This window comes from Homo sapiens, chromosome 7, assembly GCF_000001405.40.
Source record: "Homo sapiens chromosome 7, GRCh38.p14 Primary Assembly".
Classification (NCBI taxonomy): Eukaryota; Metazoa; Chordata; class Mammalia; order Primates; family Hominidae; genus Homo; species Homo sapiens.
The window spans coordinates 66112809-66125888 of NC_000007.14; the positions used below are offsets into that span (position 1 = coordinate 66112809).

A 13080-nucleotide genomic window follows, 5' to 3' on the forward strand; every position below is an offset into this window, starting at 1 on the left:
TTTTGTATTTTTAGTAGAGACGGGGTTTCACCCTGTTAGCCAGGATGGTCTCGATCTCCTGACATCGTGATCTGCCCGCCTCGGCCTCCCAAAGTGCTGGGATTACAGGCGTGAGCCACCGTGCCCGGCCAGCCTCCTTTTTAAGTAGTTTTCCATTGCACAAATGTAGCACATTTTATTCATCCACTCATCAGTCTCTAGTTAATGCATCTGTTGTATATGTTCAGATTGGCTGGGGTTCAATACCCACTGGACAACTTCCTAGATGAGTGACTTTTGGTAAATCATAATCTCTCCAAGTCTGCCTCAGTTTCTTCAATTATAAAATGTCAATAATAATGCAATGTACCTCATAGAGAGTCATGGTTGTATTGCCACAGTAATTAATAAAGTGCCAGGAACTTTATAAGGATTATTTAACACCCTTATTATTTACAAAGTAGGCAACAGAGGCTATTGTGGTGGTTCACACCTGTAATCCCAGCACTTTGGGAGTTGGAGGTGGGAGGATCACTTGAGGCGAGGAGTTCAAGACCAGCCTGGGCAACACAGTGAGACCCCCATCTCTACAAAAAAATTAAAAAATTTTGTAGCTGACTCTTTGGACAATAAAGAATTTTATTTTAGAAAATTAGCCAGGTGGCTGGGTGCAGTGGCTCACGCCTGTAATCCCAACACTTTGGGAGGCTGATGAGGGTGGATCACAAGGTCAGGAGTTCAAGACCAGCTTGGCCAAGATGGTGAAACCCCGTCTCTACTAAAAAAATACAAAAATTAGCTGGGCATTATGGCGGGCACCTGTAATCCTAGCTACTGGGGAGGCTGAGGCAGGGAACTGCTTGAATCCAGGAGGCAGAGGTTGCAATGAGCCGAGATCACGACACTGCACTCCAGCCTGGGCAACAGAGTGAGACTGATCTCAAAAAAAAAAAAAAAGAAAAAGAAAAAGAAAAAAAGAAAATTAGCCAGGTGTAGCGGAGCGCACCTGTGGTCCCAGCTACTCTGGCAGGCTGGGGTGGGAGGATTGCTTGAGCCCAGGAGTTCAAGGCTGCAGTGAGCTCTGATTGCACCACTGCATTCCAGCCTGGGCGACAGAGCAAGACCCTGTCTCTTAAAAAATAAATAAATAAACTGCAATGTTTCTGGCAGCCCAGATGCCACCAGCCTCACTACTCTCTGAGAGGTGGGATTTTAACATGCAAAGGCCCACTAACCCGATCACGTCTCACAACTTCAGCTGATTAATACTTTGTTAAAACCTAGACCACGAAAACAGACAGAGCCCGGCGAGGTGGCTCACGCCTGTAATCCCAACACTTTGGGAGGCCGAAGCGGGTGGATCACGAGGTCAGGAGTTCAAGACTAGCCTGGCCAAGATGATGAAACCCCGTCTCTACTAAAAAATACACAAATTAGCTAGGCGTTATGGCGGGCGCCTGTAATCCCAGCTACTCGGGAGGCTGAGGCAGGGAATTGCTTGAACCTGGGAGGCAGAGATTGCAGTGAGCCGAGATCGTGCCACTGCACTCCAGCCTGGGTGACAGAGCGAGACTCTGTCTCAAAAAAGAAAAAAAGAGGCTGGGCACGGTGCCTCACGCCTGTAATCCCAGGACTTTGGGAGGCCGAGGCGGGCGGATCACGAGGTCAGGAGATTGAAACCATCCTGGCTAACACGGTGAAACCCCGTCTCTACTAAAAACACAAAAAATTAGCCGGGCTTGGTGGCAAGCGCCTGTAGTCCCAGCTACTTGGGAGGCTGAGGCAGAAGGAGAATCGCTTGAACCCAGGAGGCGGAGGTTGCAGTAAGCCGAGATCCAGCCTGGGCGACAGAGCGAGACTCCGTCTCAAAAAAAAAAAAAGGTTAAAGAAAAAAAGAAAAGAAAACACAAGATAATCCTGTCCGCAAACGCTTAGCAGTCTTAAATCGGCCTGGTGGAAGGATGCAGGGACACTCCCCCACCCTGCCCCCCGAAAAAGGGGAACGCGCAGCGCGAGGTTCCGGGTCCGCCAAGCTCCCGGCATGCAGCGCGGCGATCCCGGCGAGCACCTTGGCGCGCGGAGCTGGCACCTTGGCGCTGTTGGTGGCGGCGGAGACAGCTGTGAAGTGTGAGGTTCTTTGTCTGCTGGCAGCTAGGGGCGACGAGGCGGGACGTCATGGAAGTGTAAGTCTTCTCGGGCGCGTCCCTTTTCGCCCGAGGAGCCCAACGGTTTGACCGCTGAGAGCTGAGAGCCGAGAGCCGTGGGGACTGGGCGACCCTCGTACGGGAGTGAGGGCAGCGGGCCGGCCCTGTCCGGGAGGGCCGCGGGGTGGTGACGGGGACGAACGGGACTCTCGCTTTGCCCTTCCGAACCTTCGCTTCCCCTCCACGCCGTGTCTGGTGCGGGGCCGAGCACTTCCGTGTCCGGCTGCCTTTCAATGTGCCCCCTCCTTCTCTCATTCGTTTACCAGCGTTTCTGGGTCACAGTGCGGGGGTGGAGCCCAGTCTGGTATCCGACCCCGGACTTAGAAGGCTATAAAGGCCTGAGTCTGTCCGCCCTGAAAGTAGGTGGAGGAGAGACGAATCAGGGCCGGGTAGAGCTCTGCTTGCAGCTGTAGGCCCCTGGAGAGCCCTCGGAAGAGCTGCCCTCGGAATTTGATGGGAGCAGTAAACACTGTGAGGGAAGGGGCTGGTTTTGGGGTGGAGAAGGGAAGGACGTGAACCAGGACTGGGACCAGAGAAACAGCAGGGGGTGTGTGGGTGTGTGTGCAAGGCGAGGGTAAAAGATTTTCTGACAGTTTAACTCCACGTGGTCTTTTCCATGCTTGCTCGTTGCGCCTGGTGCAAATGGAAGATTTTGCATCTACTCTGAATGTGGGCTTTATACGGTTGATATTAATTTGTAGGTATTACTATCTTGTGTTCTCTTTGAACTGATTATTTGATACAGTTTCCTTTATGTTCTTTTGCCTCATGTTTAATGGTTATATGTACTATGGCATTTCACATTTTTACATTTTTAATTAATTGTTTTTTCTTAAGAAACAGGGTCTTGCTCTGTCCCCCAGGCGGGGTGTAATCATGGTTCACTGCAGCCTCACTTTCTGGACTCAAGCAATCCTGCTTCAGCCTCTTCAGTAGCTGGGACTACAGGCCCACGCCATCACTCACCGCTAATTTTTTAAAAAAAGTTTTGTAGATGCAGGGTCTCACTACAGCCCAGGCTGGTCTCCAGCTCCTGAGCTCAAGTGATCCTCCTGCTTTGTACTCCCAAAGTCCTGGGATTGCAGGCGTGAGCCACTTCACCTGGCCTCTTCCGATTTTTTTTTAAACACAATATGTCTGTGTAACTGAAATGAAAGGCTCATGAAACAATAATGTGTGGCGTACACTCTCATATTGTCTATTTTTTATTAATATGAATGGGGCCAACCGTGGTGGCTCACACCAGCAATCCCAGCACTTTGGGAAGCTTAGGCAGAAGGATCACTTGAACCTGGGAGGTGGAGACCAGCCTGGGCAACATAGGGAGACCCTGTCTCTGCAAAAAATTAAGAAGTTAGCTGGGTGTGGTGGTTCATGCCTGTAGTCTCAGCTACTTACGAGGCTGAGATGGGAGGATCACTTGATCCCAGGAGGCTGCAATGAGCTGAGATAGAGCCACTACACTCCTGCCAGAGTGACAGTGTAAGGCTCTGTCTTAAAAAAAAAAAAAAAAAAAAATTGAACCACTGAATTAATTTTGCAACCCACTGATGGGATTTCATCTGCAACCTAAAAAACTATTCATATAATTTACTCTAGTCCAAGCCATCATTACTAATTTTTCCCTCTTTACTAGAGCATTTCCTGTGAGCATACAACCCTGCTTTAGAGAATTCATCTTAGAAAATCCTCCGTCCCCACATACATGTCCCCCTCTTACTCCATTTCTGCTTCCCATCCCAACAAAACTTCTTGAAAGTGCTGATTAGCCCCTCATTCTCTCAGCCATTCTGTTGGGCTTTCATCCTCACTGGTCTACGGGAATGACTGTTAAGATTACCTGAACCAGCGGGGCGTGGTGGCTCATGCCTATAATCGCAGCACTTTAGGAGGCCGAAGTGGGCGAATCCCCTGAGGTCAGGAGTTTGAGACCAGCCTGGCCAACATGGCATAACCTCCTCTCTACTAAAAATACAAAAATTAACTGGGTGTAGTGGTGGGCGCCTGTAATCCCAGTAACTCAGGAGGCTGAGGCAGGAGAATCGCTTGAACTCGGGAGGCAGGGGTTGCAGTGAACCAAATTGTGCCACTGCACTCCAGCCTAGGTGACAGGGCAAGACTGTCTCAAAAAAAAAAAAAAAAAAAACCTGATCCCTCCATCTTGTCAAATTCAGAGGTTGATTTTCTGGCCTCAACTTTCTTGATCTCTCAGCAGTGGTTAATACAGAAACTCTAGAAACTTTCCTTTTCTTGTGATGTATGTTCCTTTGCGTATTTCCTCCTACATCAAGGACTACTTCAGTGTCCTTCCCTGGGTCCCGTTCCTCTCTTGCTTGATGTCTAAGTGTTGAGTGGTATCTTAGGGCTCAGTCCTGGGACCCTTTCTCTCCACACTCTGTCATTTCACCCATCTATGTGCTGATGGTTCTCAAAGGTATGTTTCTAACCTTCTTCTCATCATCTATCCAATTGCATAGACCAAAAATCTAGCCCTCTCTCTTCACTCCCTAAATCCAGTCCATCAGTGGTCCTGTTGTTTCCACCCTAGAATATATTTTGAATGCAGTTACTTTTCACCATCTCCAATGTTAGCTTTGTAGTCCATCACCTCTGGGCTGGATTAAGCAATAGCCTTTGAGTGTTCACTCTTCCCCAGCCTCCATTCTGTTCTCCACATGGCAACTGGAGTGATCTTAAGTAATGATTGGAACATGTCGCTCCTGGGTAAAACCCTTCATTGACTTTCCATTGTACTTAGAGAAAATCTCCATCTCTTACCAGGACCTGCAAGACCCTGTAAAACCTCACCTACTCCCCAGCCTTACCACTTGCCACTCTCCCAACCTCCCAGACACACACTTTCCACTGACAGGTATTTCCTTCTCCTCTAACCTTCTAAGCACTTCCTGAGGACCATTGCGTTGTGGTACCCTCTGTCTGGTATACTTTCCTCCTCGCCCTCGTCCTGTTCTCTTCTTTTTATTGTTCTTTTTTTAGTTCGCTTTTGAGATGGAGTCTTGCTCTGTCACCCAGGCTGTAGTACAGTGGCGCAATGTCAGCTCACTGCAACCTGTGCCTCCAGGGTTCAAGATTCTCCTGCCTCAGCCTACCAAGTAGCTGGGATTACAGGCGTGTGCCACCACGCCCAGCTAATTTATGTATTTTTAGTAGAGACGGGGTTTCCATGTTGGCCAGACTGGTCTTGAATTCCTGACCTCAGGTGATTTGCCTGCCTCAGCCTCCCAAAGTGCTGGGATTACAGGCGTGAGCCACCACACCTGGCCACCTGTTCTTGAAGGTTGTGTCCCTTTTCAAAGTTGCCTTTCGTCTTCAGTAAGTCTAACTAACATAAGTTCTTTTTGTCTTTCATAGTACCTTGATTTACTTTCCCTCAAATAATTACAAGTTGCAATAATAAATGTATGTTTACTTGTTTGGAGGGTGGGGACCAGTGTCTGTTCACCTAGTGCTTAGCATTGCATCTGGCACACAGTAGGCATTCAGCAAATACTTGTTCAATAAAGTAATATAACAATACTTTATTAGCTTCATAAATATAGTCATCTCTCAGCGTCTTTGGGGGATTGGTTCTGGGACCCCCTGCGTATACCAAAATTCACAGATGCTCAAGTCCCTGATATAAAACGGTGTAGTATTTGCATATAATCTATGCACATTCTCCCATATACTTTAAATCATCTCTAGATGACTTATTATGATACCATGACATGTAATACCGGTTTTTGTCCATGGTTCCTGGCTCATAACTACCATAGCCTTTATTACTTCCTAAATGACTAAAACAGTAAGCATAACTTTTGTTAAAGTATTTGTCCTTTGTCCAAGGTTCCTGAAGCGGCCTTGGGACAGCTTCAGAGCAGTAAAGGTGAAAGACAGTCTTTTGTTAGAATGTTGGGGCACTCTAAGCCTCAGAAGCAGGCCTCAGAAAACAGAAGCTCTGTCTGTCTCTTGCCCTCTAATCATCCCCTGCCTTTCTGTCTTAGAGCTGGTTGTAAAGAAATTCTCTGACCTATCTCGTCTGATTGTTTCAGAGGGGGTCCTGCCCCTTACCCAGTAGGAAGGAATACCACACACAGAGGCCAGGGAGAATCTGGATGGGCCTTGCTGGGTGTCTGCACTCAGTCTTAGTATTAGATCACACTCTCTGTCCAGTCAATTACTGTGAGGTTGGCCATGCTTCAATCATCTCTCTAATGAAATCTCTACAAAACGCCCAAGAGAACTTCTGGATAGTCTAACAGGTGGAAGTTTCTGGAGGGTGGTATGCCTGGGGAGGGCATAGAGCTCTGCGCCCCCTCTCTATCCCTCACCCTGTGCACCACTTCATCTGTATGCTTGGTAATATCCTTTAAATAAACCAGTAAACCTAAGTAGGTGTTTTGTGAGCCATTCTAGCAAATTAATGAAGCCTAAAGAGGAGGTCTTGGGAACTGCAGCTTGAAGCCCGCCGTTGAGAAGTTCTGGAGGCCCTGACTTGTGTGACTGCTGTCTGAAGTAGGGGCAGTCTTCTGGGACTGAGCCCTCAGCCTGTGGAATCTCACACTGTTTTCAGATAGTGTCTGAAATGAATTGGATTGGAGGGTACCCAGCTGGTGTTGGCTGCAGAATTGATTGCTTGTTTATTGGTAGAGAGAAAACCCCACACATCTGGTCACAGAAGTCTTCTGTATTGATTGTTGTCGAGTGAGAGCAGAGGAAAAACTGTTTGATTATCAACCAACTTGTCATATCTGATGCAATGTAAAGGCTGTGTAAATAGTAGTTGTACTGTGTTGTTTAGGGAATAATGACAAAAAGCAGTCTATCCATGTTCAGTGTAGAGGCAGCCATCCTAGGCCTAACTACATAGTACATGTCAGCAACAATGTAGCATTTTCTTAAAATTTTTTTTTGCAGCCCGGTGCTCATGCCTGTAATCCCAGCACTTTGGGAGGCTGAGTGGGGCGGATCATGAGGTCAGGAGATCGAGACCATCCTGGCTAACACAGTGAAACCCCTTCTCTACTAAAAATAGAAAAAATTAGCTGGGCGCTGTGGCGGGCGCCCGTAGTCCCAGCTACTATCGGGAGGCTGAGGCAGGAGAATGGCGTGAACCCGGGAGGTGGAGCTTGCAGTGAGCCAAGATCGCACCACTGCACTCCAGCCTGGGCGATAGAGCGAGACCCCGTCTCAAAAAAAAAGAAAAAAAGAAAAAGAAAAAAAAATGTTTTTTGCATGTTTTTCATTTGAGGTTGGTTGAATCTAAGGATGTGGAACCTGAGGCTAAGGAAAGCCGACTGTATAAATTCATTAGCTAGCATCCTAGTTGCTAGGCGTGTATATTTTCTGATTTTCCTAAGTGAAATGGTTTGAATCACGGGGTTTTGTTCTTGTAACAGCCTGTCCCCTTCTGCCAAGTAGTCAGTGACTTCCTGTAACCAATCAAGAATTTTGCAGCCAGTAATTCATGGGAAAATGAGGTTTCCTGAGATAGACATGTGATTTGGGAGTGGAAGGGCCCTGGAGTGGAAAGGTCTGGAAGCCTAACTTCTGGTCCTCACCTGGTCTTCAACAGGAGGCGTGACCTTTGGAAGTCTGCTCCTTAGGATCTTTAGCAGAACCTTGAGTTGCAGATACAGTTGACCCTTGAACAACACGAGCTTGAACTTCATGGATCTCCTTATACGCAGATTTTAAAAAATAAATGCAGTTGGCCCTCCATATCTGCAGGTTCCACATCTGCAACCAAACACAGAGAATGAAAATATAGTATTTGAGGGATGAGAATATACCCACGTATGTGGAGAGCTGGCTTCCTAGCTGCTGGTTCTGCAAGGCTCTCTGGGACACAAGCATGTTTGGATTTTAGTATATGTGGGGGTCCTGGGACCAATCTCCAGTGAATACCAGGGGATGCCTGTATATTGTACCTCTATCAGACACTCCCAGAACCTGAAGTGAGGAGGCACAATGAACAGCTCCCCTAAGTTTTTGCTACTTTTTAAAATTCTGATTGAGGAAATACCTACTAAGTAACTAATACATAATAATAATAATAATAATAATAATAATAATACCTGAAATTTCTTCTTTTTTTTTTGAGATGGAGTTTCGCTCTTGTCACCCAGGCTGGAGTGCAATGGCGCAATCTCGGCTGACTGCAACCTCCGCCTCCCGAGTTCAAGCAGTCCTCCTGCCTGAGCCTACTGGGTAGCTGCCTGGCTAATTTTTGTATTTTCAGTAGAGATGGGGTTTCATCATGTTGGCCAGGCTGGTCTTGAACTCCTGAGCTCAGGTGATTCTACCGCCTCGGCCTCCGAAAGTGCTGGGATTACAGGCATGAGCCACCGCGCTGGCCCAGAAATTTATTTAAGGGGAGGAATATTTATGCTTTATTTGATTGACAATTTAAAAATAAAAATTTCTTGACCATTACTTGGAAATGTATTTTCGTCAAGTAAAAGCATACAATTTTTTTTTTTTTTTGAGATGGAGTCTCACTCCATCACCTAGGCTAGAGTGCAGTGGTGCAATCTCAGCTCACTGCAATCTCCACTTCCTGGATTCGAGCGATTCTTCTGCCTCAGCCTCCTGACTAGCTGGGACTACAGGCATGCGCCACCATGCAAAATATTTATATAGCAAAATTAGGTATTTCTATCTATAAGGTATTTGCTATTTGGCTTTGTCTATAAATGATCATTTATATGGCTGGAAAAGTTTGTATCCACTCTTTTATTCTTGAACGTAATATATATAATTGGGAAAATAGACATTATCCTCTGTACCATCTTTTTGAGGTAGTGTCAGGATTTCTTTCCTTTTACAGCTGGAAATACTCATATTTAGAAAAGGTGGGTAATAGGTACTATAACAACTCAGTAACAGGACTGGAAAGAGGATACTCATTTGCTAGCTCCCAAGAGAATGCTACAAGTTAAGTTGTTCATTGACTTCAGAAGCTGCTCCGTTTGCTTGTACCAGAGTTTAGGTTTTCAGAGCATGACTTGATAGCATAGGTTGGGCATAGGAGAATTTGAGCAATTATTTTCGTCATTGCCTGTGTAAGAGTTGACTGTGTGGCAATTAATAGGCACTGTTTGGCCGGGCACAGTGGCTCACGCCTGTAATCCCAGCACTTTGGGAGGCCGAGGTGGGTGGATCACAAGGTCAGGAGATCAAGACCATCCTGGCTAACACAGTGAAACCCCATCTCTACTAAAAATACAAAAAATTAGCCGGGCGTGGTGGTGGGTGCCCGTAGTCCCAGCTACTTGGGAGGCTGAGGCAGGAGAATGGCATGAACCCGGGTGGCGGAGTTTGCGGTGAGCTGAGATCGCGCCACTGCACTCCAGCCTGGGCGACAGAGCAAGACTCCGTCTCAAAAAAAAAAAAAAAAAAAAAGGCACTGTTTGCATGTGCCATTTGTGTATGTGTTTGCTTCTAAGGAAAGTCCACCAAGAGATCATTTTGTTCTGTTTATTTGGAATTCAGTTTCCTCAAGTAGTTGTTTACATCCACTTGACTCACCATTTTAAGCAAATTTTACAAGAAGTGTCAAATGGAAAGTCAGCTTCAGTCATCTAATTCATTACTTAAGGAAATTAAGTAACTGCCTGCCTGTAGTATAGATTTAGACAGTTGTTTTGTTTTTTTTTTTACTCAAGCATTGCTATGTTAATTTGCCAGGCTGCTTTTAGAAAGCACCAGACACTGGGTGGCTTAGACAGCAAACACTTGTTTTCTGACAGTTCGGGAGACTGGATCAAGGTGTAGCAGGTTTGGTTTCTTTTGAGGCCTCTTGCCTGAGCTTGCAGATTGCAAACTTCTTGATATGTTCTCACATGGTCTCTCCTCTGTGTGCACAAGTCCCTGGACTTTTTTCTAGACAGTCTTTAAAATGCACTTAGAGTATTTGCTTTAAACACATGTCAATAAAATGAGTACTATTCTTTCTTTCTTTCTTTTTTTTTTTTTTTTTGAGATGGAGTCTCGCTCTGTCGCCCAGGCTGGAGTGCAGTAGCCCCATCTCGGCACACTGTAAGCTCCGCCTCCCGGGTTCACGCCATTCTCCTGCCTCAGCCTCCTGAGTAGCTGGGATTACAGGCGCCCGCCACTACGCCCGGCTAATTTTTTGTATTTTTAGTAGAGACGGGGTTTCACCGTGTTAGCCAGGATGGTCTTGATCTCCTGATCTCGTGATGCGCCCGACTTGGCCTCCCAAAGTGCCGGGATTACAGGTGTGAGCCACTGCGCCTGGCGTAAAATGAGTACTATTCTAAGTCCTACAGGAGAATATGAAGTTTTGTATAGGTAAGCAGTTTCTAGAAGTCTGATTGCATGTGAATATATTACATAATACTAAAGTGTTAGCTGTAGAGCAGACAGTTCCTGCTTTGTAGAGATCAACAGCTTCTACGTTTATAATTGCTAGATGTGTCTATTAAGTTCTAATAGCTCTAAAAAACTTTTAGATGCCTGGTATGGTGGCTCACGCCTGTAATCCCAGTACTTTGGGAGGGCAAAGCGGTCAGATCACCTGAGGTCAGGAGTTTGAGACCAGCCTGACCAACATGGAGAAACCCCGTCTCTACTAAAAATACAAAATTAGCCAGGTGTGGTGGCTCATGCCTGTAATACCAGCTACTTGGGAGGCTGAGGCAGGAGAATCGCTTGAACTCGGGAAGTGGAGGTTATGGTGAGCTGAGATCATGCCATTGCACTCCAGCCTGGGCAACAAGAGCGAAACTCTTGTCTCAAAAAAAAAAAAAGGTGGGGGGGCCGGGCGCAGTGGCTGAGGCCTGTAATCCCAGCACTTTGGGAGGCCGAGGCGGGCGGATCATAAGGTCAGGAGATCGAGACCATCCTGGCTAACATGGTGAAATCCCGTCTGTACTAAAAAAATGAGCCGGGCGTGGTGGCTGGCGCCTGTAGTCCCAGCTACTCCAGAGGCTGAGGCAGGAGAATGGCGTGAACCCGGGAGGCGGAGCTTGCAGTGAGCCGAGATCGCGCCACTGCACTCCAGCCTGGGTGACAGAGTGAGACTCCGTCTCAAAAAAAAAAAAAAAAAAAAAAAAAAAAAAAAAAAAGCCATGCCCAGTGGCTCACTCCTGTAATCCCAGCACTTTGGGAGGCCGAGGCGGGCGGATCACGAGGTCAGGAGATCGAGACCATCCTGGCTAACACAGTGAAACCCCGTCTCTACCAAAAATACAAAAAATTAGCCGGGCTGATGGCGGGTGCCTGTAGTCCCAGCTGCTTGGGAGGCTGAGGCAGGAGAATGGCATGAACCTGGGAGGCGGAGCTTGCAGCGAGCCGAGATCGCACCATTGCACTCCAGCCTGGGAGACAGAGCGAGACTCCTTCTCAAAAAAAAACTAAAAATAAAAAGAATGCCACAAATACCTGTATACGCGTTACCTAGAGTCACCACTTGTTAACATTTTGATTCTGATATTTGCTGCCTTTTCCTTTTTCTCTTTTCTTTTTTCTTTTCCCTCCCTCCTCCCTCCCTCCCTCCCTTCCTTCCTTCCTCCCTCCTTCCCTTCCTTCCTTCCTTTCTTTCTTCCTTTCTTGTTTTTGATTAGAGACACTTGAGCCCAGGCTGGATTCAAACTCCGGGACGAAGTGATCCTCCTGTCTCAGCCCGGAGTAGCTGGGATGACAGGTGTGAGCCACAATGCCTGGCATTCCCTTATTTCTTTTGCACAGGCATGAGCTTTCTCTCCATACACAGGTGCACACACTTACTTTACTGAACCATTAGAGAGTTGTAGATAGCAGATCATTTCACCCCTTCTTGAAAAAGGGCATTCTATGTAGCTACAGTCGCCTTATCACACTCAGGAAACTTAGCGATGATAATCTACTATTATTAAGATACAATGTAAACTCACATTTCTTCAGTTGCCATAATAGTGTTCTTTTTCCTCCCAATTCAGGATCCAGTGAAGAACTACACATTGCATTTAGTTGTCATGTTTCTTTAATTTCCTTTCCTCTGGAAGTTTCCTTAGCTTCTTTTTGTGACATTGGCACTGTGACAGATGACATTGATATTTGAAGAGTCTAAATTTAACCCAGTTGTTTTGAAGACTGTTCCTCAATTTGGAATTCTCTGATTATATCCTCATGGATAGATTTGAATTAAACATCTTGGGGCTGGATTGCTCTGAGGGATGTGTCTTTCTCATGCGTCACATCATTGGTGCTGTGAAATTGGATAACTTGATTAAGTTGATGTCTGTCTGGTTTCACCATATCCTGTTGCCAACAACCTGTCGTTTAGTGGTGGTTACAGTAACTTCTCAAAGATAAAAACTGCCTTTAAAAAAATTCCCCAATACATACAGCTCGTTTAGGACTTCATAAAAGGTAGATAAAGTACCTCTTGACATTTTATTAAATAAGGAAAGGCCTAGCATACATTGATTGGCATTTATTCTGTGAATATTTAGCTGGGTTTTAAAAAAATTTATCTTCCTGATAAAATCAATGAATAAATCAGCTTCTGTCAGCCAGAGTCTGTTACACAGAGTACCTGTGTAAACATCAATTGGTTCTCTTGATCCCAAAACACAGATTCATTAAAACTTATGTGAAAGAGGGTTTTCCTCCTTTATATTCGTTCTAGAAGAGGCAGAGGGTGTTCTTTGGATTCTTGCATTACACTATTGACTTGTTTAGTGGGGTAGTAACTTGGAATGGCCAAGGACAAATTTCCCACGACGTGGAATATTCTGAATGACAGAGAAGGGGCCATTATTTGGAAATAAAGTTGTAACAGTGCACCTGCGATGGATCCATTGGCCCTGAAGAGAAAAAACATTCATATTTTTTCTCGAGTCAAGTATTCCAGGAAGGGATGTTTTAATGCCTCATATTTTGGAGAGCACAG

General features: G+C 46.1%; 1 protein-coding gene across 5 annotated transcripts in view, besides 4 other annotated features; it reads left to right on the top strand.

Moving 5' to 3' along the window:
* Nucleotides 915-1105: a silencer, noted in NCBI's record as "fragment chr7:65578710-65578900 (GRCh37/hg19 assembly coordinates)". NCBI's record gives its function as "represses an EF-1alpha promoter that drives an FKBP-Casp9 reporter gene in an ReSE screen in K562 erythroleukemia cells {active_cell/tissue: K562}" and the evidence as "EXISTENCE:reporter gene assay evidence [ECO:0000049][PMID:32094911]".
* Nucleotides 1752-1881: an enhancer, noted in NCBI's record as "active region_26081". NCBI's record gives its function as "activates an Ori minimal core promoter by ATAC-STARR-seq in GM12878 lymphoblastoid cells {active_cell/tissue: GM12878}" and the evidence as "EXISTENCE:reporter gene assay evidence [ECO:0000049][PMID:35858748]".
* Nucleotides 2010-13080, top strand: part of CRCP (CGRP receptor component) — a 39751-nt gene continuing 28680 nt past the window's right edge. For 4 of the 5 annotated variants that reach the window (NR_024548.2, NM_014478.5, NM_001040647.2 and 1 more), the window contains exon 1: nucleotides 2039-2162. Coding sequence is in view for 4 of the 5 variants with exons in the window: in NM_014478.5 (NP_055293.1) it covers nucleotides 2155-2162 (8 nt within the window). In the remaining variant the exon portion in view is untranslated. Of the gene's footprint in view, nucleotides 2163-13080 lie in introns of all 5 variants that reach the window. The other variant, NM_001142414.1, reaches the window with a different exon arrangement.
* Nucleotides 2419-2947: an enhancer, noted in NCBI's record as "H3K27ac hESC enhancer chr7:65580214-65580742 (GRCh37/hg19 assembly coordinates)". NCBI's record gives its function as "activates a minimal SCP1, AML or CMV promoter by ChIP-STARR-seq in naive H9 embryonic stem cells {active_cell/tissue: H9 hESC(naive)}" and the evidence as "EXISTENCE:reporter gene assay evidence [ECO:0000049][PMID:30033119]".
* Nucleotides 2534-2828: a silencer, noted in NCBI's record as "tiled region #11837; K562 Repressive DNase matched - State 1:Tss". NCBI's record gives its function as "represses a minimal TATA promoter and a strong SV40 promoter by Sharpr-MPRA in K562 cells {active_cell/tissue: K562}" and the evidence as "EXISTENCE:reporter gene assay evidence [ECO:0000049][PMID:27701403]".